The 22438-nt window shown below is 35.1% G+C and overlaps 1 protein-coding gene across 7 annotated transcripts in view; it reads right to left on the reverse strand.

Moving 5' to 3' along the window:
- CPNE8 (copine 8) overlaps positions 1-22438 on the reverse strand; it is a 254633-nt gene that overhangs the window by 76597 nt on the left and 155598 nt on the right. For all 7 annotated transcript variants that reach the window (XR_245896.5, XR_007063052.1, XM_017018852.2 and 4 more), the window contains exon 11: positions 1484-1559. Coding sequence is in view for 5 of the 7 variants with exons in the window: in XM_017018852.2 (XP_016874341.1) it covers positions 1484-1559 (76 nt within the window). In the remaining 2 variants the exon portion in view is untranslated. The remainder of the gene's footprint in view (positions 1-1483; positions 1560-22438) is intronic.

Below are 22438 nucleotides of genomic sequence, written 5' to 3' on the forward strand. Positions count from 1 at the left end.
GATTGTCCATTGAACTCCTAAAATTACTTGTACATAATTCATAATGGTCTCCTAGATTTTCTTCAGACTGATCTCTTCTTTTGAAAATATGCATAATAAGAAAACATTTATATTTGAAGTCATGGCCTTACAGGGTATTTAAGAACACATAAACATTATTAAGCTTCTTTGTCATCTCATCAGATGTGGCACCAGTCTTGTCAGTTAGCAAGCTTTATTGGACAAGAGAGTCTGGGGACTGACTGAAACCAGTGATGAGAAAATGCTACAAAAGCTAGAGAAACTAAAAGTGGTTAATCTCTGGAGTATTATATGCTGACTAGCAGTAGATGATGCCTAAGTACAAGGAGAACTAGTGTGCATGTGTGGTTCTTCCTCAGCCTTGATGTTAGGCAGACAAAATAGGTATTTACGTAATTACAACCTGTCTTATATGATTTATTTCCTGTTTAGAACCTAAATATTCTTTCCTTGAAAGACCCAGCTAAACTAATGCATAATCTTTGTCTCTTTCTGACTGAGAAATTTTCTTGAGCTGAGTTTGGCCCCTCTGTAATAATTTCATAGAGCACTAAGTATACTACTATATAGAGCACATATCTATCTACACAAAACATATTTTATATCTGTCTCTCCCATTAGGTACTGAAATTTATATTCACCTCTGTATCCCCAGGGCCTAACATAGAACATAAAATATAGAAACTACTTAAAAAATTGTTTTGTGAATGAATAAATAAATGCTGGAATAAAGTGGTAGAAGGAGATTTCTCACTCTCTACTTAACAGAGGCCAATTTTAGCATCAACCTGGAAGGGAAGTATTACCATTCTTGATTAAATACTGAGATATTCTCCTTTGGTATCCACATACGTTAAATTTTAAAGTTAAAGGAAATGTACAGATGCCATAGCTCAAGGAATAACAGTGCTAGAACATACTATATGCTCAATACATATTTGGTGATTAACTGGCACAGTGGTGTTAGGCAGAAATAACTACAATGTGTCTGCTTTAACAACGTGGATTTCTTTAATGGCTGCATATTACCTTGTCATTCCCTTCAGTCTCCACCTAAACGGTAGTGAAGGTGCTCAGATATATATGCAGACCACAGCTCATTTTATAACGCCACACTGACACCACAAAAATGCTAATCTTCTTCTTTATTAGGAAGAGATGGAAGAGGAGGTTGGTAAAAAGGCAAAACATAAAGGCTGAAGCTTAAGAAACAATAAACTTATATCCATATTTTTAAAGTAAAATGCTTTATACACAAGAATTAAAAATCAAAAACATTTAAATGTGACTTGAAGAAGTAATATCATTGAATCTAAAAATGTCTGCTCAACAACTTCAAAGATTCTTACATACACTGATACTTAGTTAACCTTTGGCAATTATGCTTTGCAGAATCCACACTTTTAAAGCACAGATTTATTTATTCTAGAAAAAAACAATGGTAAAATAAAATGCCTCTTACCTCATATACGTTGAATTGTGACTGCCCTCTAGAAAGTTCCCTATAGCTTGTTGTAAATTCTCCAATGAAATCATGACTAAAATTAAAGGAAAAAAGTACATAATATTGGCTTTCATATATTTGTCAACTGTATTTTAAAGTTTTTAGAAAGGTTTAATCATTATCAAAAAAATGCTTGATATTATTATGAATATAAATTAATAATTTACAAAATATTTAAAAGGACTAATACATAATTACATTGTTCATTAATCTAAAATTATGTATGCCGGACAATTTCATTAATATTCAAATGTTTAATTTATTCCACCAATATTAACATTTCAAACAGGTATACTAGTTTTGATAACACATTTCTCAAAACTGTTAAATCATCTATTATTCAAATGATTAATTAACTAGGATGAAAGTTAGAGACTACACTAATAAATTTATTATTGTCCATATCTATGGATATATATTTTTAAAATATAATAATTTAAGAATCTTCAAACTTTCCTATGGCCAGAGTGTAATAGGATGCTATTTTAAAAAGTTATAACATATTAATATGTGTAATAGTCACTACACTTTTTTTCTATAATAGTTAATAAATATTTTATCAATAACAACATGTTAATTCAGAATTTCTGCACCTTGAAGTAATCATCACTACCTTCTCAGGTGTCTTCTCAGTTTAGGTGAGGAGGGGTAAGGATTGAGTAAACATGTATTAGTTCTAACTAAAAAGCTTTCATCAACTGAGGTTGACCTGTGCAACTACAAAAACATGCTAAACATTCAGCAATCTAGAGCAGACTCATATTCTACCCCTTTGAGTTAATTTAATGGCCAGTGCTAAGTTGAACACACACTGCTGAGAAGTAAGTACAAACTGCTGGTATTCAGTGCAATGGTGAAATGTAGCACGTTAGAAGAATATACAGATTGTAGGAGTGAAAGCAATATAACAAACATAAGGGATGTCACAGTAGCCATTTGTATAATAGAATTTAAGCTCTGCCAATTTGTTTTGCAAATGCAAGCTATTCCTTGCCATAAAACTGAATCGCTTAAAATCCATGAAACTTTTATGGACCTTGCAATCAGTAACAAGCAACATACAAGTGGTGTTTAACCAATGAAAATACCAGTTTTTAAAGACAGGATGTGGAGGGGTAAAAATGTTATCTGCCCTTAATTTTAGTAGAGTTTTTGCAATAAAAAAATGTTTTTAAAGAACTTATTTGAGAAAAAACTTACTTAGGTATCCAGTCCTTTATTCTCCCTAAACTATCTTGTATATACTAATATTTCATGGTATTTTATGTGAAACATTACTCTTTATATCAATAGCATTTTGACCTCTTCTAGATTTAAATTTCAGAAGCAGATTAATATGAATATGTTAATAGCAAAAAGAATTGTAGGCTCTGATATATTCCTATTTATGAACCCAAACTTCTAGAACTCACTTTCAAGTTACCCAGGGAAAAATCACAAAACAGCACTTTAGTGTTACACACTACTTTTGGATTAGTACAATTCGTATGAAATCCGGTAACATTGGTTTAATCAGAACACATAAAATAATTCTCTTTGACCTTCAAAAGTGCAAGTATATACTCATGATTTATTTCACTGCACTCTTAAAATTTTCTGAATTATGAAGGTTTTTTTTTAGAATCCATCCTCCTCCATTGCTATGCAAGTTTCAGATATCTTAATAACCACTGAGATAAAAGGTTCTATTAGAGCACTTCAAACACAACGCTTTGATATCGATAGTTGTAGAGGAGGCTTATATAAACAGAGCTCACCACAGCAGTGGTGGGAACCTAACATAGGGGCCTTAAAAATGCCTGAATCACTTAAGCCCTTGTGATCATTTTCTGACTGTGCTAAACTTACCCATGCTTGGTTAATTATCTCAATCCAATGTTCAACTCTTAATTGTTAACACTTAATTTCCGCCACACAATGCTTATCAAAAACATGGCAGAAAGAAGTGATAATTCACTGGTCTTGAGTAAATCCAATTTCTCCTCCATCTGGATAAAGTCAGTCTGACAGAATAACAAATCCCGACCCAACTGCAATGGTCAGGTTTGCCAAACTACACATTGACTTGCCTGTGTTGAAGTCATTGGGGAACTTTGAAGCAGTTCTTTGATATTTGGTTCTCTTTTGTTCTAGTTAAATTTGTAAGCCTCTACAGAATTGAGCAGTGAACAACAGGTCTACGACAATCTCTTTGGTCTCAGGACTAGGAATCTGTGTTTTTGTGCTGCCCACTTATATTTTCTGTTCTGAAAGGACCCTTTTTATCATGAAAGGGAGAAAGCTTTCTCCTCTGCATTAGTGGTTAGAGAGCTTACAGCTAAAGTCTCTAGCAAGACATGTCTTCATGACATACTGTCCTCTGCAGACTTTTCAGATTTCTCACCCTATATTACTCCTTTGTTTCAATGTCCCCAGCCAATTTAGTTTACTCTCATATTACAAGCATCTCTATAAGCTGCCTTGGATCCTTTTCAGAATAAGATAGAACATACATAAATGAAACAATGAATAAAATATTAGTCCTCCTTTCTAAATCTTGTTCAAGATGATTATTTTGAACAAAACACTGAATTTGCATGTCATGTAAATGCAATGCTATCCATGTGTTGTAGAGGAGAAAGTATGTTGATCACATATTGCATTTCAGCCTCCAACATAACATTTCTGTAAGACTAAGAAAACATATTATTGCATCCATTCAGCATCTAGAGAAGTAGATGATCCAGCAGTGAGGATTTGCTAAAAGTCATAAACATAAGGCAGTATATGGAGATAAAAATAAAATAGCCAACCCAAGCTATAAGATGCATTGTCTCAAGAATATATCTGAAGAATCTGGGTAGATAAGTAGATAGATTCTCAGGCCAATTTTGTTATAGATCTCTTTTAATACATGGATATTTTTATACTTTCTAACCTTTGTAACCTGTCTGACTTCAAATACTATACATTAAATCACAGATACTTACTCTAAAGAGAATATTAAAGGTATTTTTCACTGATTTTTATTATATTTTACACTATTACCAACTATTCCTAGATTCTACTAAGATTAAAAGAAAAAATATAATGTGCATTAATATTTTATCTGTTCATGATGCTCAATACTGTAATACTGAAACAATTCTCACTATACAGAGAAACGTGACGAAAAATACTTTGATAATAAACCACAACCAATAATTTCCTTGTGATTCAATAATACTGTTTTGCTATTTCCTGTTAATATAATTATAACTAAAATAATTATTCTATGTTATAAGTTCCAAGCTCTCTGACTGCATTTACAAAATAAAGTTTACTCCAGTGCCATTTATCTGGCTTGTGTCTGTTTACGTCTCTATTTTTCCCCTACCTTTTATTACATGTATGTGTTATTTAAAGTCTGAGGGAATGAATTAAACACGTATTTTGAGCAAATTGATTACTACTGTAGCTAGTAATTTGGCTCTAAAAGTCCTTGAGTAAAGTGATTAAACTGTTGAATAAAATCTGTTCATTAAGATCATTTCTATGCTCCATTAATAGTGGGAAAACGGTATTATGCATAGTCACATTTATACCTGAAACCTGTAGGACAGTTTACAAACTTATCCATCTCCCTCTACTTTTGGGGTATTACTCCCTTATATCACTTATCTTTTACTCTACAGCTCAGCTATGATATCCTCCAAGAAGTCTTTTTTGCTTCATTCCCTTTTTTGCTCTCAAAAACATAAAACAAGCAAACAAATAACCAGTATCTCTCATCACAGTTCCTATATTATATTAAACCCATCAATTCATGTATTTCCTCTCTTCACCTATGTTTTGAAGGCAAGAAAGGTATTAACTTCATCTCAGGATTCCCAGCATCCCCCTCCGTACCTGCTACACAATGGGCACAGCTGAATTTTGCAAACACACTTAGGGCAATAGCACAGTCATACTGTGATCTTACCTTGCCAGTGATATTAACAAATTTGCCTCACATCAATTATATTCAGCCCCAAAGAATGGCACAAGTGCCAATCATATTAAACATATTAACCTTCTCTATCTCCTTAAAATAACTCTGAGAGTAATGCAGACAACTATGATTTTCCATGAAAATGTCCCCATGTAATTACAACAAAGGTATGGAAAAAAGAGAATATTGCCATTTTTGGCACATCTGAAGATTTTCCTGAAGGCCACCCTTCAATAGATAATGCTTATTTTCCTGACATTTATCTAGTTTTGCATATAATATGGACCAATGGCAAATACATACCTAACCCACCTCATCCCTTTCTCTACCACCATGTTGTCTTGAGTCAGTCAGTCAACCTCTGGGTCCTTAAGTCTTCACCTTAAAATTGGAGGTAATGCCTACTTTCTATTTCAAACATCAACCAGAGAATTCATTTAATTCTTTCTATGAAAAGTGTTTAACTTATCAAAAAGTCACTTCTAGAATACAATCTAATTATGAAGACTGTAACTCCAGACACTTATACATTTTGTCAATAAAGAAGCTTTAATCAAATTAATTTGTAAAGAAGTAATAGGCTTATGAATGGATGTGTGTTGTCTCATAATATTTTGGAGTTACACACGCATGTGGCTTGTGTTGTTCTCATGCAGGTATGCTTAATTCACAAGGCATGTCTCCCCTTTGGAGTACACCGCAGTGTAACATGTTTCAGATATGTATCAAAGGATATCTCAAATGAGAATTTGTAAACAAATTGTATGTGAAAGACAACTTCTCTAATTTGGATGCTGAAGGGATTTTGGAACAAAACTGGTATGATCTTTTCTCATGGGGAACAACACCCTTAGTTTTTGTCTCTCATTTGTACTTCAGCGCAGTGATTTCCCACATTTCCCTGTCTTGCAATTCTGTTCAAGTCCTGGAACACATATCAAGATTTTTGAAAACAGTGAGTTTGAAAATGGAGCAGTCACGAAAATGAAAGACCCCTTGGACTGAAATGTAGTTATGATGACCCTAATTAAACGCATGGGTTGCAGACATTTTTACTGTTTAAACAGTAAAAGAGGTTTAAATCTGTATTTGTGGGCAGAGGGCAGCAGAGTTTTTCAGAGGTGACTGGAACCAAGCCTTTAATTCCATGATTACAAGTAAAATGCACCATGAGACTTGTTTTCCTATCACCACAAAAAGCCATCTTCATAGGTCCAGATAACAACGTATTAGCTCTCTCTGATTTTGCTAACTTTCTTTGCTTTTGTTGTAGGCATAGTGTTTGACAAACTTCTCAGCATCTAAGAATGATTTCTTATACGATAACATCAACAACCTTCACTGATTCTTACAGAAAGTAGTTAAAACATCAACACAATCAAGCCTTTTTTTTCCTTTTAACTTCTTCAAATCCTGATAATCTAGTTTCTTAAAAAGGTAAGAAATATGACCTTTCAGTATTCCTAGATTATGAGCCAATCTCTGTCTAAATCTGCAGAACTAGCATGATTTTTAATTAATTGCCCCAGTAAACACAAACTATAAGCATATTTTGAGCAAAAATAATTTTTTCTTCATAAAGTCCTGGTTCATGTTTTTACTATTAATAGTATAAATTATTATATATAAGATATGTATCAATGTATTCAATGTAGAAGTGATCATTTATCTCCAGCTTTGCTGATATTTTAAATCATTTCAAAAGGGTTAAATTTCCTTTGCTCTCTATGTAGATTACAATAGTACTCTGGGCCTCCAAGAGGGAAATACATAGATAAAACCACTCTCATAAATTAAGAGTTCAGCAGGAGAACTAGGCTAATTTTATCAGTCTTAGCCACACCTGCTCATTAATCCATTTCTAATACAGATAGAATTTTTAAAAGATATAATTATCTTTTTATACATATATATAATAAGTTCTATTGCCCTGCTGGGTGTATATATGTGTGTGTGTGTGTTGTGTGTGTATTACACTTCTATAATTCTAAATTTTAGTATGTTAATATTTCATCTATTATGATTATTGAATATTTTATTAATTTTATTTTCACCTCTTGATTATATCCACACAAAGATACACGAAGACTAGAACAAATCACATTTTCTAAGATGAAGATAATATTTTTATTGTGGTTTACATTGGTAAAGCAAGTGCTATAAGCCATAGTTAAGGATATGTTATATATAATAATTTATCACATTTAAGCCAAAATTGTATGCCTGTTTAGTTACGCCAAATTATTTTTTAAAAAAAAGAATATATACATATTTTTAAGTATATTCATAATGTTAGATCATTTAAATTGCATGTGTATCTATTAGACATAATTTAAATTTTAACTCCACATGAAGTATACTTTTAAAATATAAACACCTTTAATTCAATTTCTATTGCTTCTAACAAGCTGAATGCACCAGAATATTGTCAAACAAAAGCTCCCCATTCAAATTAAAATTTGCCTACACAAATAGAAAGCATATGATAGTTAAGTCAAAAAATTCTTAACAGGAAATAACTTTTACCTAGCAACAGTTTCACAAATGTAACTTAATCTATTAAAAAGTAGAATGGAATTTATTTATCCAGTTATGACCTTGGATACTTATCTAGAATTATATAAATTAGAAACTTTACTGTGCTCATGTCTGAGGTTAAAATCTTGTCCAGTTTCACGGATTTTAAAATACTTATGTAACTCACATACTTTGTCTCTGTATGTGATTGAATTCATTTTTTAGCTTGAACGCTAATCTCTAGAAAAGGAAGTCTGTGTGACTCAGTGTCCTGTTTCAAGTTTAAACTATAGGCCAGTAAGTTGTAATTTTTTTCAGAGTAATGGGAATTAATAATAGTAATAACAATAATTATCATTATTATACGCAAAACAAAAAAGCAGCACTATTATAAAATGATGACATATTCAATGCTGAACAAAGACTGAAGTTAAAAAAAAATGTGCTACTAAATCTGTATTCTTGTATCTTTTTTTTATGTCATTGGTCAATGGCTAAATAAATGCAATTAAATGCCATCACCTACTTTCCCACATACTAGTAACAGATACTTTATTCAAGAACAAATATACACATATACTTCAGTCAAAAGTAGACAAGACAAAATAAATTTGCAGTTCAAAAAATTTTACTTTAACTATATAGCACAGTAGTTCAAAAAATTTTACTTTATGTAGCATATACTTTTATAGCCTACTCATTTACATACTGGGATAATTCTGGGCCAATGCTAAATATAGATTAGTACTTTCTATTTTTTTACTTTTTTCACTCAAATTTGCCTGAGTTCATTAGGTAAAGTTCAATATAATCATCTCTCTAGATTTGCTATTATATTGCTACCTTTGTTTTTTCTCTGTCAGCCATCACTACCACATGTCATTGAAAGATAATAATTTCATCTTAATTTCTCTCACTTTTTCACAGAGATTAAACCTGGAACACAGAGAGTCCATAACTTTTTGAACCAAGGTTCATATTTTGATAAGAAAGCACAAAGAAAAAAAATCTGCCAGGAGTAACACATACTCATTCTCTCTCTCTCTCTCTCCTGCACAAACGTATACAACACAAAACCCCCAGCGTGAAGTAGCAAAAGTTGGCAAGTTGCACTCTAGAGTCCACTGCTACACAAGGGTAGGGTCTTTTCAATGGCGAATAGTCCCTTCTTTGCCTCTGGCATATCCTCTCTCTCTGTATTTCGGGACACCACTTCCCATAGTTGTGCCAGAGTTGCCAACAGGCATCATAATTGTTCTAGCTCCCTCGCCATTCTTGCTTGTGGAGCCGGCTACCAGTTTCCATGCTTTCTTTGGCCACCAGTCTACATACTGTTCATTATCTTCCTGACAGACTGAGGTACTCCAAAAAGGGCAACAAGGATCAACTGCAAAGGGTAAGTCACAAAGAGGAGATTAAAGTAAATTTGCTATTGAAATTCTTTCAAACATGGGGGGAAAATGCATTTTGGAAAACATCCTTTGATCATGTCAGGATTTTAGATTTAATAGTCTTACAAACCCCAAAAATATATGTCTACCCAGTACAAAGTTATGTAAATTGTTGCTGTTGTCATTTTCAATCAATCAATATGTAGAGACAATTTAGATAATTCAAGTCCCAAAAGCATTTATCCCAGCTCCCACCAAATTTGCCTAGAAGATTTGCCTCAAATAAATCAACTAATTCACAAATTTTGATTTTATTTTGTGCTGTATAGATAAGGGATTGTTAGTCAAAAAATGTACATTATGAAATTTTAAAAGACCATCCTACCACTTTAGTGACATTTTGAATTTAAAGCTGACAGTGTACTGTAATCCTTGACATCGATTTTATTTGACAACTCAGATCTTTCAGATTTGAAAGAATTTTCAGCCAGCGGGGGATTGGGTACACATTTTAATATTAACTTAAAAGTAATAACTCCTTATTACCATTCGGTATTTATGAAGTTCTCTTTGGACTCTTACATCATTACTTTTCTCACCTCTCAAAATTAAAATTTTTCTTTTCTTTTTTTTTTTTCTTTTTTTTTTTTGAGACAGGGTCTTGCTCTGTTGCCCATACTGGAATGCAGTGGCATGATCTTGGTTCACTGCAGCCTCCAACTCTCCAACACAAGGGATCCTCCTGCCTCAGCCTCCCAAGTAGCTGGGACCACAAGTGCATACCACCACACCCAGCTAATTTCTGTCTTTTCGTAGAGATGGGGTTTCACCATGTGGGCCAGGCTGGTGTCAAACTCCTAGGCTCAAGAGATCGCCTGCCTTGGCTTCCCAAAGTGCTTGGATTACAGGTGTGAGCTGCCACGCCCAGCCTAAAATTACTTTCTTAAATGATTTATGGGGAAACAAACTTCTTAGATTTTGTGATAGGCTTCAATAATGTCTTATATGGTTTTTGAAGAGTGTTACTTTATGAAAATGGTTTTAACAATATAAATGTTCTCAAAGCATTAAAATATGGAAATAGTATAGTTCACCTCATAAAAGACTTTTTATTAGAAGTCTGCATATGTTATATACTTTTTCAACCAAATGAGGCTCCCGGAAACTATGAAGTAAAATTTCAGAATTAATGAGTTCCCCAGAGACATTAAATCTAATAATTTAAAAAGTTGAGTGAGCTGCTGCTTAGATGGTATAATATCTGTATGTGGAAACTCTTCTTTAAAATATGCATAGTAGGTAACTTGTTCCTAAAACACATTATAAAAATCTTTGAATATTCTATGAAAATGAAAGGAATATCCTTGCCGTCCTGCAAAAATAATGTCTGGCTGTTGGTTCTACCTTTGGGTTCTACTGACTTTGGGTCACTTAGTAGGCTTTCTAATAATTTTTTTCACCCCCTCAAAACCATAAAATACCTTTTCCTATTCACTTTTTAAAAGTTGATATAATTAATTAGCGGATACCAAAATTTTGTTTTGGTTTCTTTGAAGAAAACTATTATCTTGGAAAATAAAAATGCAGCCCTAATCTCAATATATACTGAAATTAATTTTGGAGATTAAAATTTACATTTTAACATATGCATTCCAATGGCTTGATTCATTTAGTCTCTACTATGATATATTCAGAATTAGTTTGTGCTCTAAAGTAGATAAGATAAGGTAGACTCTACAATATGATAGACTCTTTCTACATATGTAATATCTTATTCTATACCTTTAGGAAACATAACACCAGGGATATGTTTAGATAATAATGGCTTCAAAGGGGCATTGTCAATGTGTGAAGACTTAAATATAAGGATATTTTTCTATAGATCTAAACAAAAATCCCACTGTGAATTCATTTTAAAACATAAATCTTCACATCCCTTGTAAGTTGGATTCCTAGGTATTTTATTCTCTTAGAAGCAATTGTGAATGGGAGTTCACTCATGATTTGGCTCTCTGTTTGTCTGTTATTGGTGTATAAGAATGCTTGTGATTTTTGCACATTGATTTTGAATCCTGAGACTTAGCTGAAGTTGCTTATCAGCTTAAGGAGATTTGGGGTTAAGACGATGAGGTTTTCTAGATATACAGTCATGTCATCTGCAAACAGGGACATTTGACTTCCTCTTTTCCTAATTGAATACTGTTTCTTTCTCCTGCCTGATTGCCGTGGCCAGAACTTCCAACACTATGTTGAATAGGAGTGGTGAGAGAGGGCATCCCTGTCTTGTGCCGGTTTTCAAAGGGAATGCTTCCAGTTTTTGCCCATTCAGTATGATATTGGCTGTGGGTTTGTCATAAATAGCTCTTACTATTTTGAGATACGTCCCATCAATACCTAATTGACAGTTTTTAGCATGAAGGACTGTTGAATTTTGTCAAAGGCCTTTTCTGCATCTATTGAGATAATCATGTGGTTTTTGTCTTTGGTTTTGTTTATATGCTGGATTACGTTTATTGATTTGCATATGTTGAACCAGCCTTGCATCCCAGGGATGAAGCCCACTTGATCATGGTGGATAAGCTTTTAGATGTGCTGCTAGATTTGGTTTGCCAGTATTTTACTGAGGATTTTTGCATCGATGTTCATCAGGGATATTGGTCTAAAATTCTCTTTTTTTGTTGTGTCTCTGCCAGGCTTTGGTATCAGGGTGAAGCTGGCCTCATAAAATGAGTTAGGGAGGATTTCCTCTTTTTCTATTGACTGGAATAGTTTCAGAAGGAATGGTACCAGCTCCTCCTTGAAGGACCTCTTCAGGGAGAACTACAAACCACTGCTCAATGAAGTAAAAGAGGACACAAACAAATGGAAGAACATTCCATGCTCATGGATAGGAAGAATCAATATCATGAAAATGGCCATACTGCCCAAGGTAATTTATAGATTCAATGCCATCCCCATCAAGCTACCAATGACTTTCTTCACAGAATTGGAAAAAACCACTTTAAAGTTCATATGGAACCAAAAAAGAGCCCGCATTCCCAAGTCAATCCTAAGCCAAAAGAACAAAGCTGGAGGCATCATGCTACCTGACTTCAAACTATACTACAAGGCTACAGTCACCAAAACAGCATGGTATTGGTACCAAAACAGAGATATAGACCAATGGAACAGAACAGAGCCCTCAGAATTAATACCACACATCTACAACCATCTGATCTTTGACAAACCTGACAAAAACAAGAAATGGGGAAAAGATTCCCTATTTAATAAATGTTGCTGGGAAACTGGCTAGCCATATGTAGAAAGCTGAAACTGGATCCCTTCCTTACACCTTATACAAAAATTAATTCAAGATGGATTAAAGACTTATATGTTAGACCTAAAACCATAAAAACTCTAGAAGAAAACCTAGGCAATACCATTCAGGACATAGGCATGGGCAAAGACTTCATGTTTAAAACACCAAAAGCAATGGCAACAAAAGCCAAAATTGACAAATGGGATCTAAAGAGCTTCTGCACAGCAAAAGAAACTACCATCAGAGTGAACAGGCAACCTACAGAATGGGAGAAAATTTTTGCAATCTTCTCATCTGACAAAGGGCTAATATCCAGAATCTACAAAGAACTCAAACAAATTTGCAAGAAAAAAAACAAACAACCCCATCAAAAAGTGGGCAAAGGATATGAACAGACACTTCTCAAAAGGAAACATTTATGCAGCCAACAGACACATGAAAAAATGCTCATCATCACTTGCCATCAGAGAAATGCAAATCAAAACCACAATGAGATACCATCTCACACCAGTTAGAATGGCGATCATTAAAAAGTCAGGAAACAACAGGTGCTGGAGAGGATGTGGAGAAATAGGAACACTTTTATACTGTTGGTGGGACTGTAAACTAGTCCAACCATTGTGGAAATCAGTGTGGCGATTCCTTAGGGATCTAGAACTAGAAATACCATTTGACCCAGCAATCCCATTACTGGGTATATACCCAAAGGATTATAAATCATGCCGCTATGAAGACACATGCACATACATGTATGTTTATTGCGGCACTATTCACAATAGCAAAGACTTGGAACCAACCCAAATGTCCATCAATGATAGACTGGATTAAGAAAATGTGGCACATATACACCACGGAATACTATGCAGCCATAAAAAATGATGAATTCATGTCCTTTGTAGGGACATGGTTCGAAGCTGGAAACCATCATTCTCAGCAAACTATCGTAAGGACAAAAAACCAAACACCGCATGTTCTCACTCACAGGTTGGAACTGAACAATGAGAACACTTGGATATAGGAAAGGGAACATCACACACTGGGTCCTGTTGTGGGGTGGAGGGAGTGGGGAGGGATAGCATTAGGAGATATACCTAATGTAAATGACGAGTTAATTTGTGCAGCACACCAACATGGCACATGTATAAATATATAACAAACCTGCACATTGTGCACATGTACCCTAGAACTTAAAATATAAATAAATAAATAAATAAATAAATAAATAAATAAATATAAAACATAAACCATAGGAAGAATGGCACATCAGAAATTTCTTCTGTTGTTTGCTATGTTTATTTTGTTCTATGTACAATACAATGTAAACTCTAAAATTATAGGTTAACAAGTTTGTGTCTCTGTCCTAGAGTTGTAATCATAGTATAATACAAGCAAAACCAGCAATATAAGTAGCATGATCCGTAAACATTTTTTCATGTTTATAATAGTTTATTTCATGTGTGCATCAATATAGAAATTTAGAATATTTGGTTTCTGAAGGAAAAAGTTGTCTAAATAATTCTAAAACCCTCCATAGCATAGCATACACAATAGTAATTAATATATTTCATTTGTACTTAACTAAATACACAATTTAACTGAAAATCTAAAATCTTACATTAATTTGATATTCTTAAAGATTATATCATAAATATTAATCATAGAATTATATCAAAAAAGCAAACCCGTTTATGACCTTATTTATTAGTCAGAAAGCATTTACTGAGTATTTCCTCTTCCTGAATTTCAATGCCAAATAATGATATTACAACCACTAAATATGAACATGAAATAGATTTAATAAAGTAGAAGAGAATGGGTTAGTCTCTTAAATTTCTTTGAAAATGTCAAAGTCGGTGAAATGCCAAAGATTTTATGTGGTATTTCTTTATATTAAAATGCTCTAATTTTTAGTGGCATAAATCTTAATGTAGACTATATTATCTGGTTAAAACTATAATGCAAAAATGATCCAAAATATTTTAAAAGATCTTATGCCACAAAAAAAGTATGGCTTCCCTTTGTAATGATGTGGATTATTGAGGCAATTACTTAGATCATTGAAATATACAATTACATATATATTTTAAATAAAACTATTTGAAGGCTTGATTTTCCTTCTCTCATATGTTGATACAAATTAAAAATTATGAGTATCTAAAACTACGTGCATAAGCAGGCTGGAACTAAGAATGTCACAGTTGAACTCCAGAGACTAAATTTTAAAAGCAATGACAAAATTCTTGATTTAGGGAGCAGAAAATCGAACTTCAGGCTATAAAGTAATATTTAGGGTACATTAGGAGATACATAACGTATCTCCAGTATACTGGAGAAGCGTTGTGTCAGTAATTCAATCAAAAAAATTTAAAATAAGTAAAAGCAGCACTGAAATGTATCTGAGTATTTATCAAAGCTGAATTTTTATTGGCAGTGACAATACACTACATGTCTTTGTTTCTGCCAGATGAACAACTATAAAATTTTCCTTTCCAGGCATGATTTGACTATGACATGAATAAATAGCTAAACATATTTTTGTTTGGTTTTAATTATCTCAGGTTGGATCTATTATAAGCAGCATCGAGTGTGAAAAGTTAAGTATCTGTGCTTTCAAGAAAAGATTCTGGACTTCTGAATATCAGAAGAAATAGCCGGTTTTCACATAAAGGGAACCAGAGTAAAACACAGAGAGGTCTTGGAAACATCTGTGTCTGTTGGGAAGCATGAACTAAACCTTACATAAGAAAGCACAATAGATTGAGGTTGGTGTAATCTGAAATATTTTCATTCTTCTGACATGAGGTAATCACGAATTCCAGTATTGTCTGGATTGTAACTATCTGCTAAGTTTACATTTGGGATTCTCCTCATCAAAACTAAAGAAAAGCTAATATTAGAATTTTAAATTCACCCATTCAAAATCTAAGTCCATTATATCGACCTCTATTCCCCCAACTGACAAGTCAGCAACGCCTTATTCTCCTGTTCCCATCAATAATACTATATATGTTTGTCAACTACATTTAGAATTTTAGAATTATGTTTTACATCAGTCTTCAATTAAAATAATGTGGCTGTTATAAACCCATAGATGTCATCTCTTTAACACTGGCCCTACTACCCAGCTTCATGTGCTGTGGAGAAATGAAAACTCATAAATGTGAAATCTGAAGGCTCCACATTCTGAAGCTGTCATCTAGGCAAACTTCGGCAAGAAGCTGAACTTCTATTCATTTATCAACAAAAGCAGAACAACCATAAGTTATGCATGCCTATCAGGATTTTGCAAAGATCAAATGGAAAAGGATGTAAAAAAAGTACTTTGTAAACTGAAAAGCTCTATGCATATTCAAAGTGTACTTCAGATGGCATTCATAACAGTGATTTTATTATTCTTTTTCTTACCTTTCCTACCAACCTAATATAGGTTTTCATTACTCTCCTAATGACCTCCATAATCTTGAACTAGTGCTTGCACTTCTGTATCTGATTCCAATTCATTCTACAGATATTTTCCCACACCTTTGGCCATGCCAAAATGTGCCTGATTCTGAGTCAGAAAGTTTCTCGGAGATTCCAAAATTTCAATGGGATTCAATACATACTATCCAGTCTGTCATTACAGGCCTTCCACCATATAATCTTGATCTACCTTTCTATGTCTGCATTTCTCATGAATTCCCTCTAATACATTATAACGTACTCAGAACCACATGGCCAAAGCAGAACTCTTCACCCACAATATCCATCCTTTTTTGATTCCTACACTCCTTTCAGATAAATCACATATCATACTTTATTATGAACACATCTGGGATACTTCAACACAGATGTGAACTTATCCTTTCCTGAAATGCAGCATCACATTATACCTCTCTCAGGAAACATCCATGCTTTGCCTGGTATTTTGTTCCTGGAATTTTATTGCATTCTTGGCAGGAACATACCCTTCTTCAATCCATGGGCTGGATAGCAATCATCTTTAAATTCCCCTGCAGTAACTAGTGTAGTGACCCATACCTAATAGATGTTCAGAAAACATTTGTTAAAACATAACCAAGTGAGGTTACTAAGTTTGTTTGAGACAGGGTCTCCCTCTGTCTCCCAGGCTGGAGTGCAGTGGTGTGATCACAGCTCATTGCAGCCTGGACCTAATGGGCTCAAGCGATCCTCCCACCTCAGCCTATCAAGTAGCTAGGACCACAGGGGTGCACCACCATGCTGGGCTAATTTAAAAAAATTATTTGTAGAGACAAGGTCTCACTATGTTACCCAGGCTGGTCTCAAACTCCTGGGCTCAAGCAATTCTGCCTCAGCCTCTCAAAGTGCTGGGATTACCTACGTGAGCCACGGCACCCCATAGGGTTTTTATTATGCTATTCCAGAATGAGTTTCTAGCAATGGTCCTTAACCCAAATCTGAGTCAGGCCGACCTGGAGAGTTTTTTCAAATACTCACAGATGGACCACATCCTGAGCATCCTGAAGCAGCATCTGGAGAAGTGATATTTCAATAAAAGCTCTCCAGGTGATTCTCATGCATACCTCCAGTTAAAACCACTGCTTTAAGTGGCCGCAATATGTATTTCTCGCAATCAGTAAGACAATTTCAATATATTTTCTCTTGATTATAGAAAGAGGTCAAGGTATTCTATTTCATAGGATGGAGATGACAATGTCATCACAGAGATATTCAAAATATTCTTCAATATTAAAAAAAAACCCTTTTGAACATAGATCAAAAATATTTTAGGAGGTAGGTGATAAGATTACCTAAAGTCACGAATATGCTAATCAATGAAGTATTTTATGTGGTAACTTGGTGGTCAAAAGGATTACCATGAATGGGGGAAAGAGGTCAGGCTTTCACTTCTTTTCTTTGGAAAACTTTGTATATTTCTCATGCATGTTACAATATAAATAAACTGTATTTTTCCAGACTAATTTTTTCCAAAGCTACAAATTGTAAGATAGTTAGACACCATAAGATGATAACAAAATTGACAATAACAAACAATGCTGAGGTGCTTCAGAGTTGAACGACTAAATATCATTTTGACACAAGTGAAAGTTTCTTAACATGATATTGAGAACTCTGCTTTCTTTCATTAGAAGACTGTTTTTTGCTAAAAGCATCTTTATAAGAAATCATTCATAAATGTTTTGAATATAACAGGAACAGAAATATTTTCAGTTTAAGGACCAAAAACTAACATACATTGGAGATGCTAACAGGAACTTGAATCAAAATCATCGTCATAAAGCAGGTATTATCTTAATTTTTACAGAGAATAAAGTGCAATTAAAAGTTTCCTCTTTGTTACTGCTCAATTTTAAAACAGGAACTAGAATCCTATATATAAAAAAGAGATTGAATTTGCATATGACTTAGATGGTTTTTGTCTCCCGAACTAGTAAGATTGAAATGTAATGTATCTTAATTAAATGAATGAGGAAACATCTAAGACGTGGTTTTTATGAAGAGAAATAAGAAATGTGGGACACATGAGTGATCTGCAGGCCACCTCAGATCAGGCACACTAAACTCCAAGCCTCTATTATTGCCATATAGAATTACTCTCATCTGATCTTCACACACTTTTCAGAAGCAACCAGACTTTCTCAATTTATTTTTAAAGAAAAGCAGATCCTGATTCAGTAATAAAACACTATATGCTCTACTAACAGTATAATGAAACTACTAGCACCAATATTTGTAGCTATTGCCAAAGATTTTCTACATAGAATCCTTTGTAATGTCACTGCCTATTCTCCATTTTGTGTCTCTTTCACACACAGGTGAAGTCTCTGCTTGCTTACTTACTCATCTGTGTCTCAATCCCACAAGTAAAGGAGTATGAATTGGATTATGAATTTAAGTTATTTAGCCACCTATAGGAATGGAGAATTGGTATGACAAGTTGGCTTATTTATAATGTGGACATTTCTAGACAGTTGGTTAAAACCTTCTTTTCTAAATATATTTTTAAAGCTCCTGGTAAAAAATGTTGAGGATACAGAATTGCATTAAAAAAGGAGTAAAAAGTGTATTACTTTTTAAGATTATCCAGGGATAATCTTTCTGATGGTTGATACATCTTTTCCATGTATATATTTTAAGAAAATATTCTAGATACACTGTATAAAGCTGCACTGTTCAATATAGTAGACATTAGCCACCTGCATTCACTGAGTACTTGAAATGTGGCTAGTATGAATTGATTGTTCCTGTAAGTATATACAACATATACTGTATTTCAAAGATAGTACATAAGAAAAATATCTCAATAATTTAGATACTAATCACGCTGAATACTTCTGATATCAATTTAAGATATATTATTAAAATTAATTTTAACTGATTCTATTTACATTTTTAATATGGCTACTAGAAAATATGTGAGTAATTTACATTTCTATTAGACAGTACTAGTATAAAGCACTCTGTAATTTTCATTTTTCATTTTATTAAAAAAAGCATACTCCCAAATAAGTAAGCATTCCTAGAAAGCAATACTATTGTAATTATTTATTTATTTATTTTTTTTATTTGAGACAGTCTCACTCTGTCGCTCAGGCTGGAGTGCAATGGCGCGATCTCGGCTCACTTAAACCTCCGCTTCCCAGGCTTAAGCGATTCTCCTGCCTCAGCCTCCCGAGTAGCTGGGATTACAGGCATGAGCCACCACGCCCAGCTAATTTTTGTATTTTTAGTAGAGATGGGGTTTTGCCATATTGGCCAGGCTGGTCTCCAATTCCTGACCTCAAGTGATCCGCCTGCCGCAGCCTCCCAAAGTGCTGGGATTACAGGCATGAGCAACCCCATCCGAACGCAATACTATTAATAGATACATAATATTCCTTTTGATGGAAGTACCACAATTTAATTTGGACATCAGGGTTGTTCTATCATAAATAACTGAGTTGAACATTTTTACCACAAGCCTTTTTCAGTTTTCCAATATTACCTTAGAATAGATTCTTGGAAATAAAATTACTAGATAAAAGTCGTAATAGTATTTTTTTTTTCTTTCTTTTCTGAGACGGAGTCTCGCTCTGTCGCCCAGGCTGGAGTGCAGTGGCGTGATCGCAGCTCACTGCAAGCTCTGCCTCCCTGGTTCATGCCATTCTCCTGCCTCAGCCTCCCAAGTAGCTGGGACTACAGGCACCCGCCACCACGCCCGGCTAATTTTTTTTTGTATTTTTAGTAGAGACGGGGTTTCACAGTGTTAGCCAGGATGGTCTCAATCTCCTGACCTTGTGATCCACCATAACAGTATTTTTAAGGATATTAATACATGTAACTAAATTAGTTTCAAAAAATTTGTACCCATTTATAATACCTTAAAAATATAAAAATACCTATCTCAGTTCACCCTAAACAGCATTGGGTAATATATATTAAAATATTTGCCAGTTTCATTTAAAAAGTTATTTAGTTTAAATAGTTTACATTAGTTTAAATGTTATTTGTTATATATTAAGTTATATGTTTTAAATTCTTTTTTTGTTGATTAGTAGTTGACATGGTTTGGCTCTGTGTCCCCACCCAAATCTCATCTTGTAGCTCCCATAATTCCCACATGTTCTGGGAGGAACCCTGTGGGAAGTAATTAAATCATGGGGGCGGGTCTTTCTCATGTTGTTCTTGTGATAGTGAATAAGTCTCACAAGATCTGATGGTTTTGAAAAATGGGAGTCTCCCTGCACAAGTTACCTCTTTGCCTGCTGCCCTCCACGTGAGACTTGACTTGCTCCTCCTTGCCTTCTGACATGATTGTGAGTCTTCCCCCGCCACGTGGAACTGTAAGTCCAATTAAACCTCTTTCTTTTGTAAATTGCCCAGTTTCAGGTATGTCTTTATCAGCAGCCTGAAAACAGGCTAATACACTAAATTGGTACCAGTAGAGTGAGGTGTTGCTGAAAAGATACCCAAAAATGTGGAAACGACTTTGGAACTGGGTGACAGGCAGAGGCTGGAACAGCTTGGAGGGCTCAGAAGAAGGTAGGAAAATGTGGGAAAGTTTGGAACTTCATAGAGTCTTGTTGAATGGCTTTCACCAAAAGCCTGATAGCGATATGGACAGTAAGGTCCAGGCTGAGGATGACGTACTTGTTGGGAACTGGAATAAAGATGACTCTTGTTATGTTTTAGCAAAGAGACTGGCGGCATTTTGCCCCTACCCTAACAATTTGTGGAACTTTGAACTTGAGAGAGATGATTTAGGGTATCTAGGAGAGGAAATTTCTAAGCAGCAAAGCATTCAAGAGGTGATTAGGGTGCTGTTAAAGGCATTCAGTTTCATAAGGGAAGCAGAGCATAAAAGTTCATGAAATTTGCAGCCTGACAATGTAATAGAAATGAAAATCCTATTTTCTGAGGAGAAATTCAAGTGGGCTGCAGAAATTTGCATAAGGAAGGAGGAGCCAAACGTTAATCCCCAAGACAATGGGGAAAATGTTTCCAGGGCATATCAGAGGTCTTCATGTCAACCACTCCCATCAGAGGCCTAGATGCCTAGGAGAAAATGGTTTCCTGGGTTGGGCCCAGGGTCACTGTGATGCTCTGTGCAGTCTAGAAACTTGGTGCTCTGCATCCCAGCCACTTCAGCTTGGACTAAAAGAGGCCAAGTGCAACCTGACCTATTGCTTCAGAGGGTGGAAGCCCCAAGCCTTGGCAGCTTCCACATGGTGTTGAGCTGCAGGTGCACAGAAGTCAAGAATTGAGGTTTGGGAACCTCTGCTTAGATTTCAAAAGATGTATGGAAACCCCTGGGTGCCTAGGAAGAAGTTTGCTGCAGGGGCGGGGCCCTCATGGAGAACCTCTGCTAGGACAGTCCCTACTGGGGCACTACCTAGTGGAGCTGTGAGAAGAGGGCCATGGTCCTCCAGACCCCAGAATGGTAGATCTGCTGAGAGCTTGCACCTTGCACCTGGAAAAGCCACAGACACTCAATGCCAGCCCGTGAAAGCAGTCAGGAAGGGGGCTAAACCCTGCAAAGCTGCAGAGGTGGAGCTGCCCAAGACCTGGGAACCCACCTCTTATATTAGTGTGACCTGGCTGTGAGACACGGAGTCAAACGAGATGATTTTGGAGTTTTAAGATTTGACTGTCCTGCTGGATTTTGGACTTGCATGGGCCTGTAGCCCCTTTGTTTTGGCCAATGTCTCCCTTTTGGAATAGCTGTATTTATCCAATGCCTATATCCCAATTGTACCTAGGAAGTAACTCACTTGTTTTTTATTTTATAGGCTCATAGGCAGAAGGGACTTGCCTTGTCTCAGATGACACTTTGGACTGTGGACTTTTGAGTTAATGCTGAAATGAGTGAAGACTTTGGGGGACTGTTGGGAGGGCATGATTGGTTTTGAAATGTGAGGATATGAGATTTGGGAGGGGCCAGGGGCAGAATGATATGGTTTGGCTGTGTCCCCACCCAAATCTCATCTTGAATTCCCACGTGTTGTGGGAGGGACCTGGTGGGAGGTAACTGAATCCTGGGGACAGGTCTTTCCCATGCTGTTCTCCTGATATTAAATAAGTCTTATGAGATCTGATGGTTTTGAAAAATGGGAGTCTCCCTGCACAAGTTATCTCTTTGCCTGCTGTCATCCATGTAAGATGTGACTTGTTCTTCCTTGCCTTTTGCCATGATTGTGAGGCTTCCCCAGCCACTTGGAATTGTATGTCCAGTGAAACTTCTTTCTTTTGTAATTGCCCAGTCTTGGGTATGTCTTTATTAGCAGTGTAAAAACAGA

The sequence above is a fragment of the Homo sapiens genome, chromosome 12 (assembly GCF_000001405.40).
Source record: "Homo sapiens chromosome 12, GRCh38.p14 Primary Assembly".
Classification (NCBI taxonomy): domain Eukaryota; kingdom Metazoa; phylum Chordata; class Mammalia; order Primates; family Hominidae; genus Homo; species Homo sapiens.